Raw genomic sequence first — 25965 nt, 5'->3', positions numbered from 1 at the left:
CACTCTGTTGCCCAGGCTGGAGTGCAGTGGCACGATCTCGCCTCCCTGCAACCTCTGCCACCCGGGTTCAGGTGATTCTCCTGCCTCAGCCTCCCAAGTAGCTGGGATTACAGGCACCTGCAACCGCACCCAGCTAATTTTAGTAGAAATGGGGTTTCACCGTCTTGGCCAGGCTGGTCTTGAACTCACCTCGTGATCCACCTGCCTTGGCCTCCCAAAGTTGTTTGCTTACCTTTTAATGAAACTATCATTAATTGTTCTAATACCCTCCATAAGTATCTCGTGGTATAACCGATTAAATAGCTAAGTGACTTGTCCAGATAGTCTGAAATTTCACTCAGTAGTATGGGTTCTTTTTCATTCAACCAAGAGACTACTGTTTTTTGTTTTGTTTTGTTTTGTAGTTCAGGGAAATTTTCCCCTAGTATTACTTTGATAATTTACTAGGGAAATTTTCCTGTAGTATTACTTTGATAATTTATTATCCTCCAATGCCTTTTGTCCTCTTTTTTGTAACTTTAGGCAGATTTTGTACTTCCTGGGTTGATCATCTAACTTTCTTAATTTTCCCTTCTACTTTACATTTCTTTATATTTTTCTTTTACTTGCTGGAAGAATGAACTACATCTTCCAGCCTTCTCATGCACTACTTTATTTCAGCTATCATATTATTTCCAAGCATCGTTTCTTGTTATCGATTTGTTCCTTCTCTCTCTCGCTTCCTTTGTAGGCATGTTGTTCTTGTTTAGTGAATCCAGTGTCTTATCATCTGAGACCTATTCATGTTTTCTGTTTTGTTTTTTAGTTCTTTCCTATTGCCTGTATCATCTATTTCTTCCGAGTTCTTTTATTCAGTTCATTCCTTTTAGCTTTTCTGTTGTCTAATGAACACAGGCCATCCAAACGAGGCTTAGTGTGCACGGGTCATGTTCAACTGTAAATTCAATGAACAGTGATCAGATGGTGAGCTCACTTTTTGCTTGGGGAAACCACAATTGCAGGTTATCAGCAGGTCCCTTCTGTGATGGCAGTAGGCTCTCTAGAAAAGGACCTGCTGAAGTCCAGACAGAAGAGTTCGAATCTAGCTGCAGGCATTCTAAGATGAAGGCAGGTGAAGAATGCTGGCTGGCTGGCTTGCTTATCAGTATCCCCCTCTGTACGCAGTTAGGCAGTGGCTCACTCAGCTAAATAGGTTCCCACTCTACCATCCCATCTATTTTTTTATTATATCTGATCCACGGTTCTCTCTCCTCTTCACTCTCTTTTTCTTTGTAGGTTTTATCTTTTTGTTATTTAAACTCCTTTAATGTCTTGTGAAGTAGGGTTTCAGGAAAGAAGAAAATATACATATAAACCCAGTCCAACATCCTCTCTTATGTTGAGATAACTATATCTCTCTTTGTGGTAACTAACGTCAAATCAAATGAGAACAAAATATTGCTGGTAAGAGACCAGCTCTTTAAGGTTTGATGGTCATGTTCATTTCAAAAAGAAATGTACTTGAATATAACCAATGGGGATAAAAGCAAAATTTTAAAAGCCCATTACTTAAAATGAGAGCAAATTGCAATTTATCAACTCAACATCCATAATAAGAGCATTCACTTATGCCATGCACTCTGCTAAGCACTTTACATAAATTATCTTAATATATTTTAATTCACTACCTATCTTGAATCCTATGAGACAGGTGTCATTATTCTCATTTGCAGGGATTCAATTAATCTGCCCAAGGTCAAACAGTAAATAAATAAGTACCAGCTCTGGAATTCAAATCCGGATCTGTCTGACATTTTTTTTTTTTTTGAGACAGAGTTTCACTCTGTCACCCAGGCAGGAGTGCAGTGGCGTGATCTCGGCTCACTGCAACCTCCGCCTCCCAGGTTCAAGCAATTCTGCCTCAGTGCCTCCCGAGTAGCTGGGACTACAGGTGCGTGCCACCACACCCAGCTAATTTTTTTTTATTTTTAGTAGAGACGGGGTTTCACTGTGTTAGCCAGGATGGTCTTTATCTCCTGACGTCGTGATCCACCCACCTCAGCCTCCCAAAGTGCTGGGATTACAGGCGTGAGCCACCACCGCGCCCAGCCTTTCTGACCAACTCTAATAGAGAACCAGCCCTCACATGAAAAGGGGAAAAACTTGTTTGGTTTTTAAGAACCTTGGAGTTCTTAAAAATATGATCACTTCCTATAGCTAAGTACTCCTGAAAGCACATTTGCCTTAGGTTTCTTAAAAATTTTATCTGTCATAAGGTAGGCCAAAAAAATGGCATTGAGTAATATCTTTTTTTGCTTAATGTAGAGGAGATTCTGTTTACTTATCCCAAATGATCCACAGACAGCTAACACTATCACCAGTATCTTAATGACTTTTGAATATATGCATAAGTACATAACAGGTACATGCATAAGTATTTGTTCATGTTAAGATCCCAATGAAGACATCACCCAACTGTTACCCAGGTAGACACTGCAAGAACAAATAAAACCAAAACCAAAACAAAACAAACAGTGATGGGGAATAAGGGGGGGAAACGAATAAATTAAAATGATAGACATGTTTCTCATTAAGTTAATATATATGAAAGCATTTGAACTAAGTCTGTAAAAATGGCAGATAATAATTAACACTTGGTAGCAAGAAACGCTTTCTGAAATACTGAAACACTGCTTGTTTCACTGTAACTTATCACCTAGTGCTGTATCTGCATAGTCTCACAATTCAACTTTATATCCAACATGGGTGTTCATTTCTATTTGGATAAAATTTACTGAAATATACTAGAAAGAAAACTGGTCTTAAAATGCAAAAGGCTCTGCCACTAATTCACTGATCTTAACTTAGTTTACTAATTAACTTCTTATTATAGTTTTCCAAATCCGCATGCACGCATGCCCACATGCATTTGACTACGTTTGCCTATGATGTCTCTAAGATCTAAAATTAAGATTGGATGAAAATTATTTTCATTTCACAAAAGAAAACAAAATCACATATAAAACAAACAATATCCCATCTGCTAAAACAAGAATGTAAGCATAACACCTTTTCAAGAAACTATAAGAAAGTTCAATAGACAAAAGTAGATGGAACATAAATACCAGAAATATCTAAGAACCAGAAGAATTTTTACTATGTGCAAAGGTGATAAGAGATCAGACCAAACTTTAGGGTACCCCGAGAACTGAGAACTGACCTAGAATTTGTCTTGCATGAGAACTGCTAATAAAATATATCTGTAATATTTCCTACTCAATATGAACAAGTTTGAGAGGATGAAAACTGAATGGTTTATACCATCTGTTTACATCACAGATGAACAGATTCTTAAAAAGTGCTTCTAAAACTGTTCAATATATTATAAACATCATAAATACCAGCCCCAGATAGTTATTAAAATACCATTATATTATTAAATCCCAGATAATTACTTAAGTTCTAACTTCCCTTTAGTCACAGATACATATCAGCAAAAACATTTTATTTTTCTACAACAATGCACTACCTAGTCTCACCCTACTACTGATTTGAAAAATAATGCAATTTTGAGTTCCTTACCAGTATTCCTTTCTTTCCTATTTGTATACATCAAGGCCACGTGAGAATCAGAACCCAATCCTCACTAACTCTAGACAGACAAAGGCTTAATCCTCTTCATTCTTGTTGTGTCTAGGCTTATAAACCCCAAAAGTCAGTTTAAAAAAAAAATTCATGCTATTGGTGTTTTAGAAGCAACTCTTTGGCCATTTTAATCATTAGCCACCTCATGAAAAGATGGAGATTTGCACATCATTTACACAATAACAGAATTTGTAATTAAAGGCTATGTTTTCTAAATAAACATAATTTCACAGATATAGTCAGATGACTTTCAAACAACTAAAGAAATGTTTGACCAGGCTAAGTCGCTCATGCCTGTAATCCCAGCACTTTGGGAGGCTGAGGCAGGAAGATCACTTGTGGCCAGAAGCCTGAGACCAGCCTGGGCAACAAAGCAAGACCCTGTCTCTGCTGGGGAGAAAAAAAAAAAAAAGGTAAAATAAATGTTTCAGTATTCACACTGAATGAAAGAAATCTTCCAGTTAAGAGGAACACATAGTGACTCCACTTAACGTTGCCTATTAGATGAGGCAAGATGATATTTTCCAATGGGCATATAGAAAAAAAAATAATTGATGCTCATTTGCCATATTTATTTTAAAAATTATTTAACCATAAGTTTCTTTTCTCTTTTGTTCATAAATTTTTTCGCTGAGTTTCTTTTCTTTTCCTTTACATGGTAATTATTTTTGTCATAACAACAATAATAAAATAATTTTTCTGAACTCCAGAGCTCCATGCTCTGACTACTATGATCAATGGTCTACAACATGGAATGTGCTCACCCAAAGGGGGCACATAAAATGATCTGTTGGAATGTGGGAGGAAAATACTAGACCTTCTCTTTATTTTTCATCTCTTTTAAAAAACTAAGCCCTCCTAGTAAGTCATATATAGGCTGACATGGATGTATGTTGGCTACTGACTACACTTGTTTCTGTAAGAGTTACTAGAAACAGAATAAGCAGAAAGCACTGAATTAAATTAGTGCTTAACCATACTTGAAATTAAACATAAAAACAAAGATGTTGTCTTATAAAGTCACTTTAATCTGCTTCAGTTTATCTAAATGTGTCTTTTTCTGTACTCTGAAATAATTAGTCTTACACTGTAATAGAAATGGAATATGCTGATGACAAAGGGTGTGGAAGTGTGGAACTGGGGTTACTACTTCAATAAATCTCTAATTTGTGCATAATCCTGAAGCTCACAACCTATTAATAAGTCAGAGTTACTGTTCACTCTCATATTAAAATGCAAAACAATACAAGGCTAACCTTCAAAAAACTGTTACTACATTCTTCCCCCAATGATAAAAATTTTGAAGTCTGAAAATACCACGTGTTGAAGAGGATATGGCACAATGGAACACTCAAACAGCTGGTGGGAATGTAAGATGGTAACATCAAGTCTAAAAGAATTTGCTTTTGCTTGGTAAAGGTAACTTCCTCAGCTGTTAGACCCAGTAATGTCACTCCTAGGTATATACCCTAGAAAAACTTGGGCACATGTTACCAGGCTACACATACACAAATGCACAAAAGAGCATTGTGCATAATAGTCGCGTACTAGGTTTATCAAAAGAACTGTAATGGAAAAATCTATTATGGTACAGCCAAACAAGAAAACATTAAAGAAAAATGAACATAAAAATTAGCTATCTGCATCAATATGAATCAATCTTATAAATATACCATTGGATGAAAGAAGAAAACGCAAAAGATTACAACCAGTAATGACTCCATTTAAAGTTAAAACAGGCAAACTAAATTATACTGTTTAGGGATACATACATAGATGGTAAAATCGTAAAACACAACAAGGAAGTGATTACCATAAAAATCAGGACAGCAGTTCCTCCAGGTGTTGGAACAGGCACGTGTGTAATTGGAAAGGACACAAGGAGGCTTCTGGGGTGCTGGCAATGTCCTATTTCTTAACGAGTAATATGTGCTTCATAATATATTTGTTTCATAACTTTTATACTGTACATTTATATGTAAAATAAATCCTTTCAAATTATTAATTTTTGGTATTATAATGGTATTGTGGTTATGTTAAATAAGAGTCCTTATCTTTTAGGGATACTGAAATATTTATGGACAAAATGATATAATGTCTCAGATTTGGCTTCAAAATAATAGAGCAAAGGATAAAGTGGATGGAATGAGGTGAAGATTAGACAAGAATTAAAGTTGTTGAAGCTGAGAGATGGGTACACAGGGCTCATTATACTACTGTCTACTTCTGAATATGTTTAAAAATATAAGTTTTAAAAAGCTTTTATGGAAATAGCTTAAAAATAAAGATACACCAGTTTCACAAATGGGAATTATATTCAATACAGGTCTAATCCAAATCCCAACAGGCCTTATGGAAAACCTGACAAACTAATTTTAAAACTGATCTGTAATAGTCAAGGACTAAGACTGGCCAAAACACGACAAAAGGTGAACAAAGACAAAGGGATCTGCCCTCCCAGATATCAAAACAGTATTAATGCAAACTCTAGAAGACATTGTGTATCATCGTGTATTGGCACCAGGATGAACAAATGGTCAAACAGAATCTAGAGTCTGACTCATGCATGTAGGGAAGCCTGATAATGTACACTGCATACCAGTGGGGAGGGGAAAGACTTCTTTTTTTTTTTTTTTTTTTTTGAGATGGAGTCTCACTCTATTGCCCAGGCTGGAGTGCAGTGGCGCAATCTCGGCTCATTGCAAGCTCCGCCTCCCAGGTTCACGCCATTCTCCTGCCTCAGCCTCCTGAGTAGCTGGGACCACAGGCGTCCGCCACCACGCCCAGCTATTTTTTTGTATTTTTAGTAGAGACAGGGTTTCACCGTGTTAGCCAGGACAGTCTCGATCTCCTGACCTCGTGATCAACCCTCCTCGGCCTCCCAAAGTGCTGGGATTACAGGTGTGAGCCACCGTGCCTGTCCAGGAAAGACTTCTTATGAAGTCGCTGTGGGACAGAGGGTTCCCCACATGGAAAATAAATATAATTAAATCCCTTCTCCAAAAATCCACAGAATCAACTCCAGGCTTCTAAAAGGCAAAATTATTCCACTTTTATAGGGAAATTTGGGTGAATTATCCTTATGAATGAGAGGTAAGAAAAAATTCTTAAGCACAAAAATATAAGCCAAAAAAGGTACTTTGTTAAATCACACATAACCAACAAAGAATTTGTATTCAGAACGTAAGAGGGAAGTCTATGAATAAATAAGAAATTTTAAAAATGTACAAAAGACATGAACAGGCATGTCTTTCACACAAGAGGAAACCATACCGAGCAACAAGCACATGAAGAAGTGCTTCGCTTAACCTCACTAGCAATCGGAAAAGAACAATACCATGAAATCCCACCTTACCCATCAGACTGACAAAAATTAAAAAGTGAAAAAACAAGCATTAATGAAGATGTTGTGAAAGTGAAACTATACCACATTAATGTGGGAGCAGTTATCCCTTTGCAAAATAATTTGGCACTATCTTGTGAAACTGATCATGCCCACACCCCACAATTCAGTATTTCCACTTTTAGATATATATGCTACAGAAACAAGTATACTCAAAGTCATGTATATACTGAGATATGTACAAGAATTTACAGCAGTTTGTAACAGAAAAAAAACTTAAAACTAGAAACTACTCAAATGTCCACCAACAGATCATCTGTATTGGGTAGGAGCTTATATCTGTTTGTTGTTGTGCATCATTACATGATATATATACACACACATATATATATCATTACATGATATATATATACACACATATGTATATGATATACACACACACACATATATATTTGATTGTATATTTTGACCTGTTATATATATAAGCATATAAAATTATATATATATATAAAAAATTTGTTTTTTGAAACAGGGTTTCACTCTGTTGCCCAGGCTGGAGTGCAGGGATGCGATCCTGGCTCACTACAGCTTCAACCTCCCAGCTCAAGCAATCCTCCTACCTCAGCCTCCCGAGTAGCTGGGCCTACAGGCACACACTACCACACACAGCTAATTTTTAAAATTTTTTGTAGAGACAAGGTCCTACTATGTTACACCCCAGGCTGATCTCGAACTCCTAGGCTCTAGCAATGCTCCCGCCTCAGCCTCCCAAAGTGTTGGGATTATAGGTGCAAGTCACTGCACCTGGCCTGTTTTATAATTTTTGTACCAAATATATTACAGTTTGAAAGAAGATTTAATTTTTCTTTTAAAGATTATTACTTTTGCTGATGTCACATTTTAAGTAACTAAAAATTGCAACAACCACATGGTTTACAAAGAAATGGCTTGCTTCATCTTGAGGTATGTAGTAAAAAAAACAAAAAAACAAACAAAAAAAACCCTCCAATCTGAACTGAATAAAGATCAACTCCATTCTCAACCGAAAAACATTAAAGCAAAATTTCTTCTCTGACATTTACAAACTTATAAAAGCATTATAATTTCAAAACATAAATAGCTTTCTACTGCCTTCTTATCCCTTTTCCCCATCTTGAACTCACGCCGAATGCTATGGACACTAGCTTACCAACAGTTCCTAATTGGTTAAGGGCACAGACAACAGTACTGGAACACCAGAACCTGTCTGTTCCACAGTTTTGAAAAGAGCCTTTCTAGTTTGTTTTCAAGTACATATAGACAAATTCAAACTATCTCCACAGTTATATTAAAGGAGCTGAAGAGGTACAATATACAGTGAATACCATCCACTACATTACAAAGTGACTATCTACAAGAAAATAGCAATAGTCAGTCCTAAGGCAGGGGAGGTAGTTCCAGTATACTAGTCTTTAGAATTTCTAGGTTTAGTAGTACAGTTAAAACATTTGAATCAGTCTTCTATGATGTTTTTCTAAAACGTAGGGTTTTCATTTCTCAACTGATAAGGCTAATATTCTTCTCTTTATTTTTTAACAGAATCTCGCTCTGTCTCCAGGCTGGAGTGCAGTGGCGCAATCTCCACTCACTGCAAGCTCCGCTTCCCGGGTTCACACCATTCTCCTGCCTCAGCCTCCCGAGTAGCTGGGACTACAGGCACCCGCCACCACACCCGGCTAATTTTTTGTATTTTTAGTAGAGACGGGGTTTCACCACATTAGCCAGGATGGTCTCGATCTTCTGACCTCGTGATCCGCCCGCCTTGGCCTCCCAAAGTGCTGGGGATACAGGTGTGAGCCACCACGCCAGGCCCTGATAAGGCTAATTTTCTTCTTTTATTAAGTAAATCCATTTAGTTTAAGCATTTTGAGATGACTATGGTTTTATAATGTGATGTGTGAAATTAAATCAGGAACATGCACATTTGTGTTTTCAGAAGAAGGAAAAAAATTGACACTTTTACTATACTCATACCTAATTTAGGGTATAAAATGTGGTTCCTGAAAATGGAAGTTCTATACAAATCTGTGCCATACGAGGTTATTATTGCATAGTAGCTATGGAGATCCATCATATTTGACCAATCACTTTTCTGTTTTACATAAATCCCCTCATGGAGTGCCCTCAGCTAGAGTTCCCTCTAGCCACCTTTCATGGGAATTGTTGGTTCATCCTCTGAGGCTGCAGTAGTAACTTTGATGTTTTCTTTTTTTTTTTTGAGACAGAGTCTCACTCTGTGGCCCAGTCCAGGCTGGAGTGCAGTGGCACGATCTCGGCTCACTGCAACCCTCGCCTCCCAGTCTCAAACAATTCTCCTGCCTCAGCCTCCCGAGTAGCTGGGATTACAGGCATGCGACACCACGCCCAGCTATTTTTTGTATTTTTAGTAGAGACAGGGTTTCACCATGTTGGCCAGGCTGGTCTCGAACTCCTGACCTCAGGTAATCAGCCCGCCTCGGCCTCCCAAAGTGCTGGGATTACAGGCATAAGCCACTGCACCTGGCCTAACTTTGATGTTTTCTAAAATGTCTAAGGTCTTATAGCAATCCTTAGCTGTCTAACTGATCCATCCCCACTCCGTTTCCTCAACCACTTCCCTTGAAGTAACCTTGAACCATCTAAACACTGAGCACACTGCACTTCCTCTGTTTCACTGTGGCAACTCCAGCACCATCACTTGCACATATCCTCATGCCCCCACCCTGACTATTATAGGTTAAAACTATACATCAGAACAACAACAAATGGCAGAAAGAAAAGCCACAAAGGGAATAAGCAACCTTATTGCAGAGCATATTCCATACTCAACTCCAGACAGCTGAGGAGGCTAAATGTGCATGAAGGAGTGAAGTGGCTCACTGGGCTACAGTGTGCAGTATGGTTTGTCAGTGCTCTCTGTCTGAGCATACAGTAAGTCAAACCACTAGAAAAAATAGGTATGTTCTTCCACATACTTTGGCTTTTTGCTCTAAACCATTCAATGATTTCCTATTTCACAAAGAATAAAAACCAGTCTTTTCATGACCTGGAAGACCAAACATGAACTGGCCCTTGGTTACCTCTTAGACCTCATTCCCACCACTGGCCCCATGCCTCACAGCCACTCTGCCTTCTCTGATGTTCCACTCACACACCCAACCTTGCACTTACTACTCACTCTAAGTGCTTTGCCCCAAGTATTTGTGTATTTTACTCCCTTAAACTTGTGCCTATACAGCACTTAATCTGAGAGGCCTTCCCTGAACACACTATTTAAATTCATATCCCCATTTCTCCAACGTCATCCTCTTTTTTCTTGCTTTCTTTTTCCACGGTGCACTTATCACCACCTGATACCATACATACTTATTTGTACAGTAAATATGTCCTCCACTAAAGTGAGACAAGATGATGGTAGAGATGACATCTGTTGTATTCACTGTTATCTCACCACTACCTGGCTCATTGTAGAAATACCAGAGTGTTATTGTTACAAATGTACTGTAAGTGCGTACATGTCCAAAATAACACATTCCAAGGCCAGGTGTGGTGGCTCATGCCTGCAATTCCCAGCACTTTGGAAGGCTGAGGCAGGAGGATCATTTGAGGTCAGGAGTTCGACATCTGCCTGGCCAACAAGGTGAAACTCCATCTCTACTAAAATATAAAAATTAACCGGGTGTGGTGGCACATGCCTGTAGTCCCAGCTACTCGGGAGGCTGAGGCAGGAGAATTGTCTGAACCTAGGAGGCGGAGGTTGCAGTGAGCCAAGATCGCACCACTGCACTCCAGCTTGGGAGACACAGCGAGACTCCTTCTCAAAAAAAAAAAAAAAAAAGAGTAAGAGAAAAAAAAAAGGCCGGGCGCGGTGGCTCACAGCTATAATCCCAGCACTTTGGGAGGTCGAGGAGGGTGGATCACTTGAGGTCAGGAGTTCGAGACCAGCCTGGCTAACATGGAGAAACCCCATCTCTACTGAAACTACAAAAATTAGCTGGGCATGGTGGAGGGTGCCTGTAATTCCAGCTACTCAGGACGCTGAGGCAGGAGAATTGCTTAAACCCGGGAGGCAGAGGTTGCAGTGAGCCAAGATCGCACCATTGCACTCCAGCCTAGGCGACAAGAGCAAAACTCCGTCTCAAAACAAACAAAAACAAATTAACACATTCCAGATACAAGCAGCATTACAAAAAATCAGTGCTATGTGGGAAACCATTAGATGGGAAGGCAAATAATATGAATAGAAAAGTGGCTTTTTTTTTTTTTTCTGTAAATCAGGGTTCCTTGTTTTTTAAAGCTACCTTAGAAGCTGACCAGTATTCTGATGCTCAATAAGTTGGTGAAGAATTCACTATAGTTCTGTCAACAGCTAATAAATCTTTTTTTTTTTTTAGATAGAGTCTTGCCCTGTCGCCAGGCTGGAGCACAGCGGCGCAATCTCAGCTCACTGCAACCTCCACCTTGCGGGTTCAAGCAGTTCTCCTGCCTCAGCCTCCGGAGTAGCTAGGACTTCAGGCACATAACATCACACCGGCTAATTTTTTTTTTTAGTAGAGACAGGGTTTCACCATGTTGCTCAGGCTGGTCTCGAACTCCTGAGCTCAGGCAATCCCCCTGCCTTGGCCTCTCAAAGTGCTAGGATTACAGGTGTTAGCCACTGCGCCCAGCCCTAACAAATCTTTTTAAAAAATTAAATTGCAGGGCAGCAACCATCCAGTTAAAAATCTACAACCTTAGCTATATCTAGCAACAGCAACTACAGCATTACTAAGTTACTAAGTTTTGGAATACCACGGCTCAAAACATTGGGGCTCTATTATACCCTGCATTGTACTATATTAAAATGAAGGAGTAGGAGGAGAAAAATGATTATTCTACTATACTCAGAAAAATACATTCTATTTTCTTCCCAATATTGGGTTGTTCCTTTTTCACACATGGAATGTGCAAAAGCAGGGGGTGATAGGGAACAAGTGGGAGAGTCGGCATGCAGCACTTTATTTCAGTAAATATTTTAGAAAACTTTAGCAGATGATCAAGCAGCTTTAAGATAAGGCAGTCTTGATATTGTTTAGAATACCAAGGATATGTCTTTGTATAATGTAAAGAAACAAAAATTATTAGTGATTCTTTACATCTGTTTCCTGATGCCAACAAGCAAGCTATTCCTCCATTATGGTGACCACAAAGCCCCATTAAGTTTTATGTAATTTTTCTCAGGAATCAAAAAGGTAAGAAATCAGATGTCCATGGAATTTTTATGGAATACTTCACATAAGTATGTATTCATTAAACAATAACAAACAACTAACATATGTAAATGTTGTACTGATACGGGAGTGCTGGGAAGGGAAGAGTGTGGTCCCTTTAAATGATATGGGAGTGGGAACAGGGAAGTGCTGGGTAGAGAAAGGCAGGTCCATGGCTAGGGCTCCACCCCCACGGACAAACATAGGTGAGGACAGGCACTCCTGCTTTTGGGCCCAAATGTTGCATTTTCCAAGACCACCCTGGCCCGCCGTGCCCCCATCCTGGGCCTATAAAAACCCAAGACCCTAGCAGGCAGACACATAGACAGCCAAACGTCGAGAGGAGCACATCAGCGGAAGAAGACACAAGCGGTTAGACGGTGAAAAGACGTCGAGGGAACACGCCTGCACAAGAGCACACCAACAGACACCAGCATGCCAGCAGGCCATCAACTGGCTGGATGAGGCGGAGTTTGGCCGGGGCAGTTAAAGGAGAGCTGGGGCCACCTAGCAGCCCAACTCCAGGGGAAAACCATCTCCATTCTGGCTCCCTCATCGACAGAGAGCTACTTCCACTCAATAAAACTTTGCACTCCTTCTCCAAGCCCACGTGTGATCCAATTCTTCTAGCACACCAAAGCAAGAACCCAGGATACAGAAAGCCTTCTGTCCCTGTGACAAGGTAGAGGGTCTAACTGAGCTGGTTAACACAAGGCAAACTAAAAAAGCACCCTGTAACACACGCCTTCTGGCACTTCAGCTATAAAGATTCATCCCTAGACATTGTCGTGGGGTCAGAACCCCACAGCTCCCCGTCTGTATGCTCCCCTAGAGGTTTGAGCAGCAGGGCACTGAAGAAGCGAGCCACACCCCCATCGCATGGCTTCTAGGGGGACAAGGGAACTTTTCCCGTTTCAGTATGAGAGAAACTCAAGTTGCAAATCCTCTGTGTAGCAGAAAATGTATTTCTGATGTCTCATAACTCCAGAGGCTTATGCTCCTGCCATTTAAATACCTAATCTGTGTCTTCCTATTTTAGCTATTGGTGAGTATACATTTATCATATATTGAAGAGAATTCACTTTATTATATACCCTTTATTATATATCACGTCACTGCACTCCAGCCTGGGCAACAGAATGAGACTCCATCTCAAAAAAATAAATAAATAAATAAAATAAAATAAATTCAATGCAATCCAAAAAAAAAAACAAACAAACAAACTCTAAGATTTACATATGTATTATGAAATATCTCAAACAAGAAAAAAAATAAAGAAAAATATAATAAGAAAACATGTAACCACAATCCAGCTTTTAAAAAAGACATCACCAATAGAGTTAGAAAAGAAGAGCTAAGAAAAAATTTCCCCTATGACACAGCAAAACATATTAAGTAAGTAGAGCAATTAAAACAATATGGTAGGGCACAGTGGCTCATGCCTGTAATCCCAGCACTTTGGGAGGCCGAGGCAGGTGAATCACTTGAGATTGGGAGTTACGTGTACAATTATATTTTTAAAATTTAGTCCTTATTTTTCCTCTTACGTTGTTACAAATATAAATAAAATATCAATTCATTTGTTCAGCCAGCCAACAATCAATCATGTATACCTACACTCTCCAAGATATTATATTTGATCCTGAAGATACCAAGTTAACATGGTGAAGACCCATAAATAATTCAAAATGTTGTGGGAGAGACTGTAGAATAGTTATTTACTATGCAAAAGGTTCCATGCTATAATAGAAAAATGAACTAAAGAGCTGTGGGAATACAGATGAGTATTATCTCATTCAGGGGAAAGCTGGGGCAATTTTTATGTAAGTAACATTTTATTTAGGCACCTTAAAAAATGAAAAGGAGGCCAGGTGCAGTGGCTCACGCCTGTAATCCCAGCATTTTGGGAGGCAGAGGCGGGTGGATCACCTGAGGTCAGGAGTTCGAGACCAGCCTGACCAACATGGTGAAACCCTGTCTCTACTAAAAGTACAAAATTAGCCAGGCGTGGTGGCACATGCCTATAATCCCAGCTACTCAAGAGGCTGAGGCAGGAGAATCACTTGAACCCAGGAGGCGGAAGTTGCAGTGAGCCGAGATCACGCCATTGCACTCCAGCCTGGGCAATAAGAGTGAAACTCCGTCTTAATAAAAAACAGAATTTGGAGGCTGGAGGGCAGGATTTTGGTAGAGGTAACAATATGTGCATATATTAGAGGGCACAAAAACAAGGCATATACCAAGAAGTCAGTCAAGACCACTGACAAGCTATATGACTTTGGGCAAAAAACTGAACCTGTTTCAACTGAAAAATAAAGACAATGATATCTTCCTCAGAGGGTTGCTCTGAGGAAAATGAGATGGTAAGCTGAGAGGAATATGATGGCAATATGGCTGTCACATCTTCCACCCACTGACTTCCAAGGCTGATTTATCTGTTTTACCTCAGGTTACTATCTCCTTTTTCTCTCACTATTCCTCCAGAAGCTATTTGACAGAAGAACACCTCCTCTCAGTCATGTACGATGAATGGTCTAGGAGAGTTCTTGACATACAGTATTTACTTTAAAAACATTATTTCTTTTTAAACATATGTTCGGAGTTCCACTGAACTATTCTCTGTGGTATTCTCTACAACTGCTTTGCAATTACTGCTAGGATCCCAATCCTCAGTTTGAGAACCAGTGGAAAGTTTAATAAGCACCCCACCTGATGTGTCCACATACTTCATACTTACAGGCTGAGGCTGTTCTGCAATACAGCAGTTGAAACACAACCAGAATTCACTCATGCTTACAGTCCACAGTAAATGAGCACCAATGAAGGTTCCAAATCTCAACTCGGGAAGTTCCAAAAATACGCTCCTCAATACGATGATGTCCAGTGATGCCAAGATGAAATTTTATTATTTCACCGTGTTTTTGTTCCTGGAAGTCAAGTATCTTACACAGTCGATTTAATAAAGAAAAATTTGGATTGTTTCCTTTCTTTGCTTCTGGTTCTACAGAGACTCCTTTCTGAACCACGACGAAGGTATAAAAATTGTTGTCTTGACCCAGGGACTATAACAGATAGTCTAGGGAAAAAAAAGAAAAAGTAAAAAAAAGTTAAACTTTACTTATCCTTGAAAGCTTTTATTTCTTAAAATAAATATTACCAAAAAAAGTAAACACTGAAAAAAAATCAAGATTTTAACAAACTGATATTGATTCAACAAATTATTTTTTGAGCAACTTTTTAAGTGTCAAGTTCTAGGTGTAGTAGTAAAAGCAGACAGAAATCTTTGCCTTCGTGGGGCATCCTATTTTATGATTATAAAAGTATGGATTATTTTAATGAGTTAATTTTTAAAAATCACTAATTAGAACATTATGACTGCCACATACAAGTTTCTAATTCCAAGAAGAAATAATGATCACCATTTTCATATAGGTTTCTTCAGTTGAGTCCTTTATTCTCACAGACAACTCAGACAGTAATTGACACAGCAATGAATTCTAAGGAGATAATCAAGCAGGTGCAGTTCATCAAAAACCATAAACAAACTTATTACCTTATCCACTGGAATTAGAGCTGTACATGAAAAATGGGTAGAGGTTAAGTTGGCTTTCTTCTGTGAATCGAGCTATTAGATCCCTACCACTCCCACCACTCCTACCATCATTACTAGAACGCATGTTAGTCAAAATACTCTACATCCCACTGTGGCAAACCAAGCTGAGTCTATCAGAATCCTTGTCAGGCAATGTTCTATCTGCAGTTGGACAAAGAGTTAAACCTATTTTTTATTTCTGACTGCCAAGCTGTTGACTTTAAGGATGTCCTTAGTCAATAATATCCTATACCTCATGTGGAAGATGGTTTTGAGGTAATAATGCTGACAAGCAGCGGCAAAAGAGAAGTGGGAAGTCAAGATGACATCAATCTCTGATTCTAGGCATCCCTAAGATCAGTTTCACCTGTGCACCAGACGTTTGGTTTTGTAAGGCAACATATCTCCCTCTTTAGCCTGAAGTTATGATGAAGTGGGTTTATATCACTTGCAGACTACTACAATAGTCAAGTTAAGATGTCCAATAGACAGTTTGATATATAAATCTGAAGCCAAGGAGAAGTTTTGCAATCATCAGATTATGACTAAAGCAATGAATGATCTCTAGGCAAAACGGTATCATGACAAGCAAAGTGTGCTCAACAGAGTCCTCTGAGTAAGAACAGCATTTAAATCATAGGTAGAAAAAGAGAAGTCTACTAAGGAGGTTTGGGTGTTACCAGAATTAGAAGAGGAAAATCCGTTAAATGTGGTGTCACTGGAGCCTGTTTCAAGGAGAAAGTGGGTGGCAGTATTAACTGCCACTGAGATAGGAAAGACTGAGGACTATTCCTTAGACTGTGCAGCAAACACAGTGTGGCGCTGGCAACAGCAGTTTCAGTAAAGTAGTGTGGGTAGACATCAGATTACAGGAGGTTAAGTGAGTGAAAGGAAAGCAGCAGAGTCAACAAGTGTAGACAATGTTTGCAAGAAAAATGGATATAAAGTTTAAAAAGTAGAGTGGTAGAATGAAGAAAATGAGCCTTCCTTGAAATGAAAAGATCAAAGACTAAAGATGTATCAATTTGACTGTGTTCAAAGAGATGTTAACATTTTTGTCCCAAATGGCGAAATATAAATCACTTATTTGTAAATTCTGGAAAGAGACCTCACACATTTATAAGCTTTGCCAACTATAGATCAGTAACAACCACATTACAGGATCACAGAGTCCTGAACATTAAGTGAAATTAAATTCCTCCCTTTTGCTTTTTCCAAAGCCACGACTCTAAACCTGGAAAGACAGAAGTGACGGTGATTTTTGTAGCTGTACAGATAAAGATGTAATGTAAAGTTAAGGCACACACCCTCAGTGTCACAAATCTGGGTAGTATAACAAGGCATGAATTCAGGACCCTGATTCTACAGTCCAGAGGACAAGTCCTCTAACATACAGGAAAATAACATGTTAAGATTTAAGCATACATCCAAGGAATATCAAAAGAAAGAAAAGTTTACATTTTTGCCATTAATTAAAATTCAGAACCTGGAATGTTTATTTAAGCAGAGATGAACATTCCTTATCTTACCCAAACTCTAAATCAAGGAAGTGGCAGTCTTTGGCCAATGAATTGGGTAAATACTGTGAAGTTTTATAAGCTCAAAGAATAGTATCACTTATTTCCTCCATCCAATCCTCTTAGCAGGAATATAAGAGAAAAGGCTTAAATATACAGTCTCATGAACATTATTTCAGTGCTGCTATTTAATAAGTTTAATTTCACCCTGGATCAAAAATCTTGCCCATTAAGAAGCCTTTGTGAAATTAAAAAAAAAATTTTTTTTCAGATAGGGTCTCACTGTGTTGCCCAGGCTGGAATGCAGTGGCATGATCACAGATCACTGCAGCCTTGACTTTCTGAGCTCAGGTGATCCTCCTGCCTTAGCCTCCCAAGTAGCTGGGACTACAGATGTGTGCTGCCACACTTTGCTAATTTTTTATTTTGTGTAGAGACAGGGTCTCACTGTTTTGCCCAGGCTGAGCTCAAACTGCTGAGCTCACACTTCAGCCTCCCAAAGTGCTGGCATTATAGACATGAGCCACCGCACCTGGCCTAAAGTACAATAACTTCTATTGCTACATATTTCCATTTAGATAATGGATCTGCTAAAATATATTTTCAAACCAAGAAGATGTTTGCAATTCCATGGATTTTTATTTAAGTAAATATATGGATCTTAAAATGTTTCAGACATGCTTTGGAATGTGATATCAATACATCTTCTATCTTCTTGCTTTTCTAAACAAATTTCCTTTTTTTAGAACAGGTTTCTAAAGTATATATATGTAAAACATATTTACATATAAACACCTTCAAGGAAGTATTGAATTCTTCACAAGAAACTTCAACACTGCCACTAATAACTATACTAATAGTTACTTTCACTTCTTGAGCTGAAAGCTGCTTAAAACATGACCATTTTAAAAACCTATACTTTTTGAAATCTTTAGATAACAGAAGGAGAGTCATTTTACAATAACATCAACATATAAACTTGGCTTTAAATACAGCTCAGCAAATTCCACACATAACTAAGGGGTCAGACTGGTCTACAGCACAAGAGAGTATTTTAACAACCTCATAGATTCATAAGACATAAGATTTTAGAAAGGGAAGGGACTTTTAAAGAGAACATCATGGAACTTGGTCATTAAATAGCTTATCCAAGGCGACTTAGCTAGTGAGCTTCCTTAAATTTGCTTACAAATGAGACTGACATGAGTAGAAAAGTGCAATAGTATTCTGTACTCAAAATATTATCCACTATCAGTTCCCCTCCTCCTTTTTGCCACCTAAATCAAATGCTACAGATACCAGCCTCCTACCTGCATGAAGTTTTGCTGCTGACAACTTAATGAAGTTAAACTCCAACATCCTACCCGCAATTTAATACAAATGCTTTTTAGGTCAACTTCCAAAGAAAAATAATAATGTTTTGATGTGAAAAACTAGACAGTGGGGCATGTCAGGTAACTAGGTTTTTTTTTTTAATCTAAAATATCTTAACTCAGTTCAGGTATTAAGTACGCTCAGTTTGTGTGAAACTTAAAAAATTCAGAATTTGGACTTTGAAATAAAAGATCTGTGACAGTTATAGCACTAATTTTTTAGAAATGTTAGTTCAGGCAAGTGACAAGCTCTATCACTCTGTTCCCTCCCTCCCTCTCTCCCTCTCTTCTCTCTCTTCTCTTTCTCTCTCTCTTTCTTTTTTTTGAGACAGAGTTTCAGCTCTGTTGCCCAGGCTGCAGTGGAGTGGAGCAATCCTGGCTCACTGCAGCCTTGACCTCTCGGGTTCAAATGATCCTCCCACCTCAGCCTCCGAAGTAGCTGGGACTACAGGTACATGCCACCACATTTGGCTAACTTTTGAACTTTTTATAGAGACAGGGTCTCACTATGTTGCCCAGGCTTACCCTCAGTTTTCTTAGTTATAAAATGAAATACTGCATTGCCATTTCACAGGTCTGAAATGAGGATTAAGTTAGCTAATATATATGAAAGTACAGTATATATTATAAAGAGCATACAGGTTGAATATCCCTTTTCCTAAATGCTTGGGACCAGAAGTAATGTAGATTTCAGATTTTCTTGTAGTTTGAAATACTTGCTTTATACTTATCCTACTGAACACCCTAAATCTGAAAAATTTGAAATCCAAAATGCTCCAGTGAACATTTCCTTGGACCATGTCAGTATTCAAAAAATTCTGGCTGGGCACAGTGGCTCACACCTGTAGTCCCAACATTTGGCGCAGCTGAAGCATGAGGATTGTGTGAAGCCAAGAGTTCGAGACTAGCCTAGGCAACATAGCAAGACCTCATCTCTACAAAACAATTTAATTTAATTTAAATTTTAAATTTTTTTTTACGTTTTGGACTTTGGAGCATTTCAGATTTCAGATTTTTGGATTTGGATGCTCACCTTGTATTGATATAAGATGCTTTTTTGTTACGAGAATTAAAATGGCAAAATAGCATTATTCTGCTATAGCAAAAACAGGTAATTTGCTGCAAACTTTGAAGAAACAGCCTAAAATCTATCTAGAAAAAAATGAAGAAAATGAAAAAAGGTGAATTATGGTTTTACACAAAACAAAATGAATGACAGCTTCAGGCAACACAGATGATTCTCACATGGCGAGATAAGAAACATGACACAATATACATGCAATGATTTCTGTGAATTTCAAAAACAATTTAAACTATTTTGTTTAGAGATGCATACATACATATAAAATTAAAGCAAGGAAACTTATAATTAAAGTCAGGAGAATGGTTACCTCTAGGCCTGAGGGCAAGGATTACAAATAGGAAGAGGTGCTTATGGGCTCCTGGAATGCTGACAGTGTTCCACTTCTTGACCTGGGTGGTAGCTACACAGGTATTTGCTTTATAATTATTTGTTAAATAATACATGTATCCACTATGCAATTTTATTTTATTTTATTTTTTTTGAGACAGGGTCTTGCTTTGCTGCCCAGGCTAGAGTGCAGTGTCGCAATCTCAGCTCACCGCAACCTCTGCCTCCCAGACTCAAACCATCCTACCCTTAATCTTCCAAGTAGCTGGGACTACGGGTGTGTGCCATCATGTCCAGTTAATTTTTAAATTTTTTGTAGAGACAAGGTCTCACTATGTTGCCCAGGCTGGTCTCAAACTCCTGGGCTCAAGTAATCTGCCTGCCTCCTTCTCCCAAAATGCTGGGATTAGAGGCATGAGCCACAATGCCTGGCCACTATGCAATTTGTATGTATTTTTAAACGATAATTTTTTTTTTTTTTAGACAGAGTTTTGCTCTGTCACCGAGGCCAGAGTGCAGTGGCACAATCTCAGCTCACTGCAACTTCAGCCTCCCAGGTTCAAACAATTCTCATGCCTCAGCCTCCTGAGTACATGCTGTGACTATAGGCGCCCACCACCACGCCCAGCTAATTTTTGTATTTTTTTTAGTAGAGATGGGGTTTCACCATGTTGGCTAGGCTGGTCTCAAACGCCTGACCTCAAGTGATCCGCTGGCCTCGGCCTCCCTAAATGCTGGGATTACGGGCATGAGCCACCATGCCCAGCCTTAAATGACAAAAATTTAAATGAAATGTCAATTTAAAAAGTAGGCCGGGCATGATGGCTCAGACCTGTAATCCTAGCACTTTGGGAGGCTAAAGTGGGAGGATTACATGAGGCCAGGAGTTCAAGACCAGCATGGCCAATGCAGCAGAACCCCATCCCTACTAAAAATACAAAAATTAGCTGGGCATGGTGGCATGCACCTGTAATCCCAGCTACTCAGGTGGCTGAGGCACAAGACTTGCTTGACCTAAGGAGGTGGAGATTGCAGTGAGCTGGGATCATACCACTGCACTCCAGCCCGGGCAACAGAACAAGACCGTGTCTCCAAAAAAAAAAAAAAATTATTAATAAATACTGGGCCAGGCTTGTTGATTCACGCCTGTAATCCCAGCATTCTGGGATGCTGAGGCACAAGGATTGCTTGAGACCAGGAGTTCGAGACCAACCTAGACAACATGACAGAATTCCGTAACTACAAAAACATTTTAAAAATTAGCTGGGTGTGGTGGCAAGCACTTGTGGTATCAGCTACTTGGAAGGCTGAGTTTGGAGGATCACTAGAGCCCAGGAAGTCGAGGCTGCAGTACACCAAGACGCGCCACTGCAGTAAAGCCTGGGCACCAGAGTGAGACCCTGTCTCAAAAAAAAACTAACAATGAGCAGTTGATAATAATGAATTGAGGAAGATCAGAAGTGGAAATGCAAAACACAGAATTAAGTACGAGTGAACACCCTTGCTAGAAACTTTGGAAGAACTGGTAAAATTACTGGGGAAGGGGGTCTGAAGTTCCATCAGATGCCAAAGAGGTTTCTGTCAGAAATGCAAACATTAATCAATGACCAAATATAAATATCAATAAACCTTATTCATAGCTGTAGCAGCACTAAATCCGTCTCAAACTAGCTGAAACAGTTGATACTCACGTGTGGTACAACACCGTTTTGAAAAAAATTAACTTATTTTAAGATGATCTTTCAAACTATGTATTTATCACACAGCTACTTCTCTGTGGTTAATCGAAGTCCAAACCATTGTTCCCTGAACTCAGTTATAAAAGACTGAGGTAGGGATGCACATATAATTATCAAAATATGAGGGTTAATTTTTTCCTTATATTTAAAATGACTGATTACAGATTAGACTTTCCTATAGTTTCATGTAAATATAATTATACAGCATGCACTCTTTTTCACATCTGGCTTCTTTCATTCAGCATGTTTTTAAGATTTACCTATGTTGTCTCTATTAGTAAATTATTTTTTATTGCTAAGTAGATTTCCATTATATGGATATTATACAATCTGTTTACCCACCCATCTTTTGATGGATATTAATGTTTTTCCAGCTTTTTGGCTATTAAAAATAAAGCTGTTATATACTAAGTATGATTTTAACTTTATTAAGAAACTACCCACCAGTTTTCTAAACCAGTTTTACCACTTTGCATTGAGAGTTCCAGTTATTCCTTATCCTACCAACTCTTTGTACTATCAATCTTTTTAATTCTAGTCATCCTAGTGGGTGTACAGTAGTATCTTGCTGTGGTTTAAATTTGCACTTTTCTGATAACTGGTGATATTAAGTCTTTTCATGTGCTTCTTGGCCATTCATGTATTTTCTTTGGGTAAATATGTTCCAACCTTTTGCCCATTTTTAAATTCAGTCATCTTACTATGTTCTTCATATATTCTAGGTCAATCCTTTCTCCAATATATGCATAGTGAATATTTTGTCCTGGTCTTTGTCTACCGAACAACATCTTTCGAAGAGTTAAAGTTTTTAACTTTGATAATGTCTTATGCATAAGTTTTATCTCTTATGATTTGTGCTTTTTGGGTTCTAAAAATTCTTTCACATATCCCAAAGTTGCAAAGATAATCTGTTTCTTTTTCTAGACTTTTTAGCTTTTATTTTTATACCTATAATCTGTTTTTAATTAAATTTTAGTTTTTGACAGTATAAAGGCTATTTTTTAAAAAAATATGGATATCCAGTTGTTCTAGCTCATTTGCTGAAGATATCCTTTTCTTATCAGATTAATTTAGCACCTTTATTGAAAATCAGGGCTGAGGCCGGGCACGGTGGCTCACGCCTGTAATCCCAACACTTTGGGAGGCCAAGGCGGGCGGATCACAAGGTCAGGAGATCGAGACCATCCTGGCTAACATGGTGAAACCCCGTCTCTGCTAAAAATACAAAAAATTTGCTGGGCGTGGTGGCAGGCACCTGTAGTCCCAGCTACTCCAGAGGCTGAGGCAAGAGAATGGCGTGAACCCGGGAGGCAAAGCTTGCAGTGAGCCAAGATCATGCCACTGCACTCCAGCCTGGGCAACAGAGCGAGACTCCGTCTCAGGAAAAAAAAAAGGAAAATCAGGGCTGAGCTTGGTGGTTCACGCCTATAATCTCAGCACTCTGGGAGACCAAGGAGGGTGGATTGCTGGAGCTCAGGAGTTCAAGACCAGCCTGGGCAACTGGGCAGCAAAGTCCCGTCTCTACAAAAACTACAAAAATTAGCTGGGCATGGTTGCACACACCTGTAGTCCCAGTTACTTGGAGGGGCTGAGGCAGGAGGATCACTTGAGCCTGGGAGGTTGAGGCTGCAGTGAGCCATGACTGTAACACTGTACTCCAGCCTGAGCGACAGAGTGAGACCCTCTCTAAAAATAAAATAAAATAAAATAAAATAATTGAGTAACATTCAGTCTACTTCTAAGCTGATTATTGTATTGCACTTGTCTATTTGTCAATCCAATGCCAGTACCATTATAATAAGACTTAGAAGCAAGGTAGTCATTTGTCTTCCAATTATACTCTTTTTCAAAATTGCTTTTAGTTTTCTAGGTCCTTTGCATTTTCATACATATTTTAGAATCAGCTTGTTAATTTCTACCCAAAAAAAAGCCTCCTGTGATTCTGATTGGGACTGCATTTATTCTAAGAATTATATATTTATACGTAAGTCAAATTATATATACATATATATATACACACACACACACACACACACACACACACAAAATAAATTTTGTTGTATCACTTTTAACTTTGTTTATACCGTTCATATCAGGGCGTTAAAGCCTTATGTAGTCAAATGTCAATTTTCATAACAGATTAGTGGTTTTATCTTACTTAAGAAACATTTCTTTATCTCAGGATTATGAATCAATCATCCCATTATAGTTCTGTTAAGTTTTACTTCTGTAATTCAATTTTGACATTAATATTTTGTAGGGTGTGATTAGGTAATATTTCACAGTTTACTCAGGCTTTTTCTTTTTTTTTGTATTTTTATAAATTTAATAATATATGAAAATCATTATGAATTATACCACAGAAACTGCCAAGGAATTTAATTGTATACATGAGCGAGTAGGAAGGCTATTTTAATCTTTTTTTAAAAATGTCTAAATTATACGTTTCTTGTTGAAATGTTTAAAATTACCAAATTATTGCTCATTTGCTACATAGAAGGAAATGTATCTTAGGTCAAGTTGATTTACCACAAGGCCCTTGTACACATTAAACAAATATATTTGATTTTTTTAAATATATCTACTTTAAACTCAATTACTCTGTAATCTATGATGTTGACATTAATCAGGATATTCTACAAATAATTTATGTTCTCCTTATTCTTGATTAGTTCTAAATCAAGTTTTTTGTTTTCACAAATTCTATTTATTATACAAGTTTCATTAAACATTTAGAAAAAAGCAAAAAGATTAAGAAAATCACCCATTAACCCTACCTTCCTAGAATAATAGTATATTAAATTTTTTATTTGTCCTTTTGTGCACATACCTTAAAAATAACTGCATATGCATTTGAATTATTCCTAATTTTATCTCCTGCTCTATTTAACACTATGTACATTTTTCCCTTAGTCTTCATATTCATTATTTTAATACCTGCATAAAATTTCCATCATGTGACTTCATTACAATGGGTTGTTCCCAATGGATTTTGCCTACTTTGGATCATGCTCAAAACACATACTCATATACAGTTGACCCTTGAACGACATGGCAGTTAGGGGCACCAATTCCCTGCACAGTCGAAAACCAATATATAACTGTTGATTCTCGAAAAGTTTAAGTACTAACAGCATGCTGTTGACTAGAAATTTTTATTATTATTATACTTTAAGTACTAGTGTACATGAGCACAACGTGCAGGTTTCTTACATATGTATACATGTGCCATGTTGGTGTGCTGCACTCGTTAACTCATCATTTACATTAGGTATATCTCCTAATGCTATCCCTTCTCCCTCCCCCCACCCCACAACAGGCCCCAGTGTGTGATGTTCCCCTGTGTCCAAGTGTTCTCATTGTTCAATTCCCACCTATGAGTGAGAACATGCGGTGTCTGGTTTTCTGTCCTTGCGATAGTTTGTTCAGAATGATGGTTTCCAGCTTCATCCATGTCGCTACAAAGGATATGAACTCATCCTTTTTTATGGCTGCAAAGTTAGATTAGATCCCATTTGTCAATTTTGGCTTTTGTTGCCATTGCTTTTGGTGTTTTAGTCATGAAGTCCTTGCCCATGCCTATGTCCTGAATGGTATTACCTAGGTTTTCTTCTAGGGTTTTTATGGTTTTAGGTCTAACATTTAAGTCTTTAATCCATCTTGAATTAATTTTTGTATAGGGTGTAGGGAAGGGATCCAGTTTCAGCTTTCTACATGTGGCTAGCCAGTTTTCCCAGCACCATTTATTAAACAGGGAATCCTTTCCCCATTTCTTGTTTTTGTCAGGTTTCTCAAAGATCAGATGGGTGTAGATGTGTGGTATTATTTCCGGGGGCTCTTCTATTCCATTGGTCTATATCTTTGTTTTGGTACCAGTACCATGCTGTTTTGGTTACTGTAGCCTTGTAGTATAGTTTGAAGTCAGATAGTGTGATGCCTCCACCTTTGTTCTTTTGGCTTAGGATTGACTAGGCAATGCAGGCTCTTTTTCGGTTCCATATGAACTTTAAAGTAGTTTTTTCCAATTCTGTGAAGAAAGTCATTGGTAGATTGATGGGGATGGCATTGAATCTATACATTACCTTGGGCAGTACGGCCA

General features: G+C 38.4%; 1 protein-coding gene across 11 annotated transcripts in view, besides 7 other annotated features; it reads right to left on the bottom strand.

Annotated features, from left to right (window-relative positions):
* Positions 1 to 25965, bottom strand: part of CDC42SE2 (CDC42 small effector 2) — a 184621-nt gene that overhangs the window by 20154 nt on the left and 138502 nt on the right. For all 11 annotated transcript variants that reach the window (XM_047417396.1, XM_047417393.1, XM_047417394.1 and 8 more), the window contains one exon: positions 14972 to 15310. In XM_047417396.1, coding sequence (XP_047273352.1) covers positions 14972 to 15025 — 54 coding nt within the window. In that variant the 5' untranslated portion in view covers positions 15026 to 15310. The remainder of the gene's footprint in view (positions 1 to 14971; positions 15311 to 25965) is intronic.
* Positions 12131 to 12685: an enhancer, noted in NCBI's record as "H3K27ac-H3K4me1 hESC enhancer chr5:130697527-130698081 (GRCh37/hg19 assembly coordinates)". NCBI's record gives its function as "activates a minimal SCP1, AML or CMV promoter by ChIP-STARR-seq in primed H9 embryonic stem cells {active_cell/tissue: H9 hESC(primed)}" and the evidence as "EXISTENCE:reporter gene assay evidence [ECO:0000049][PMID:30033119]".
* Positions 12686 to 13240: an enhancer, noted in NCBI's record as "H3K27ac-H3K4me1 hESC enhancer chr5:130696972-130697526 (GRCh37/hg19 assembly coordinates)". NCBI's record gives its function as "activates a minimal SCP1, AML or CMV promoter by ChIP-STARR-seq in primed H9 embryonic stem cells {active_cell/tissue: H9 hESC(primed)}" and the evidence as "EXISTENCE:reporter gene assay evidence [ECO:0000049][PMID:30033119]".
* Positions 16387 to 16476: an enhancer, noted in NCBI's record as "active region_23051". NCBI's record gives its function as "activates an Ori minimal core promoter by ATAC-STARR-seq in GM12878 lymphoblastoid cells {active_cell/tissue: GM12878}" and the evidence as "EXISTENCE:reporter gene assay evidence [ECO:0000049][PMID:35858748]".
* Positions 16497 to 16546: an enhancer, noted in NCBI's record as "active region_23050". NCBI's record gives its function as "activates an Ori minimal core promoter by ATAC-STARR-seq in GM12878 lymphoblastoid cells {active_cell/tissue: GM12878}" and the evidence as "EXISTENCE:reporter gene assay evidence [ECO:0000049][PMID:35858748]".
* Positions 16567 to 16646: an enhancer, noted in NCBI's record as "active region_23049". NCBI's record gives its function as "activates an Ori minimal core promoter by ATAC-STARR-seq in GM12878 lymphoblastoid cells {active_cell/tissue: GM12878}" and the evidence as "EXISTENCE:reporter gene assay evidence [ECO:0000049][PMID:35858748]".
* Positions 16737 to 16786: an enhancer, noted in NCBI's record as "active region_23048". NCBI's record gives its function as "activates an Ori minimal core promoter by ATAC-STARR-seq in GM12878 lymphoblastoid cells {active_cell/tissue: GM12878}" and the evidence as "EXISTENCE:reporter gene assay evidence [ECO:0000049][PMID:35858748]".
* Positions 20298 to 20596: a silencer, noted in NCBI's record as "fragment chr5:130689616-130689914 (GRCh37/hg19 assembly coordinates)". NCBI's record gives its function as "represses an EF-1alpha promoter that drives an FKBP-Casp9 reporter gene in an ReSE screen in phorbol 12-myristate 13-acetate-treated (for megakaryocytic differentiation) K562 erythroleukemia cells {active_cell/tissue: K562(+PMA)}" and the evidence as "EXISTENCE:reporter gene assay evidence [ECO:0000049][PMID:32094911]".

The sequence above is a fragment of the Homo sapiens genome, chromosome 5 (assembly GCF_000001405.40).
Source record: "Homo sapiens chromosome 5, GRCh38.p14 Primary Assembly".
Classification (NCBI taxonomy): domain Eukaryota; kingdom Metazoa; phylum Chordata; class Mammalia; order Primates; family Hominidae; genus Homo; species Homo sapiens.
Note: the sequence above shows the minus strand (reverse complement) of the source record. Positions and strands in the feature narration are given on the sequence as shown.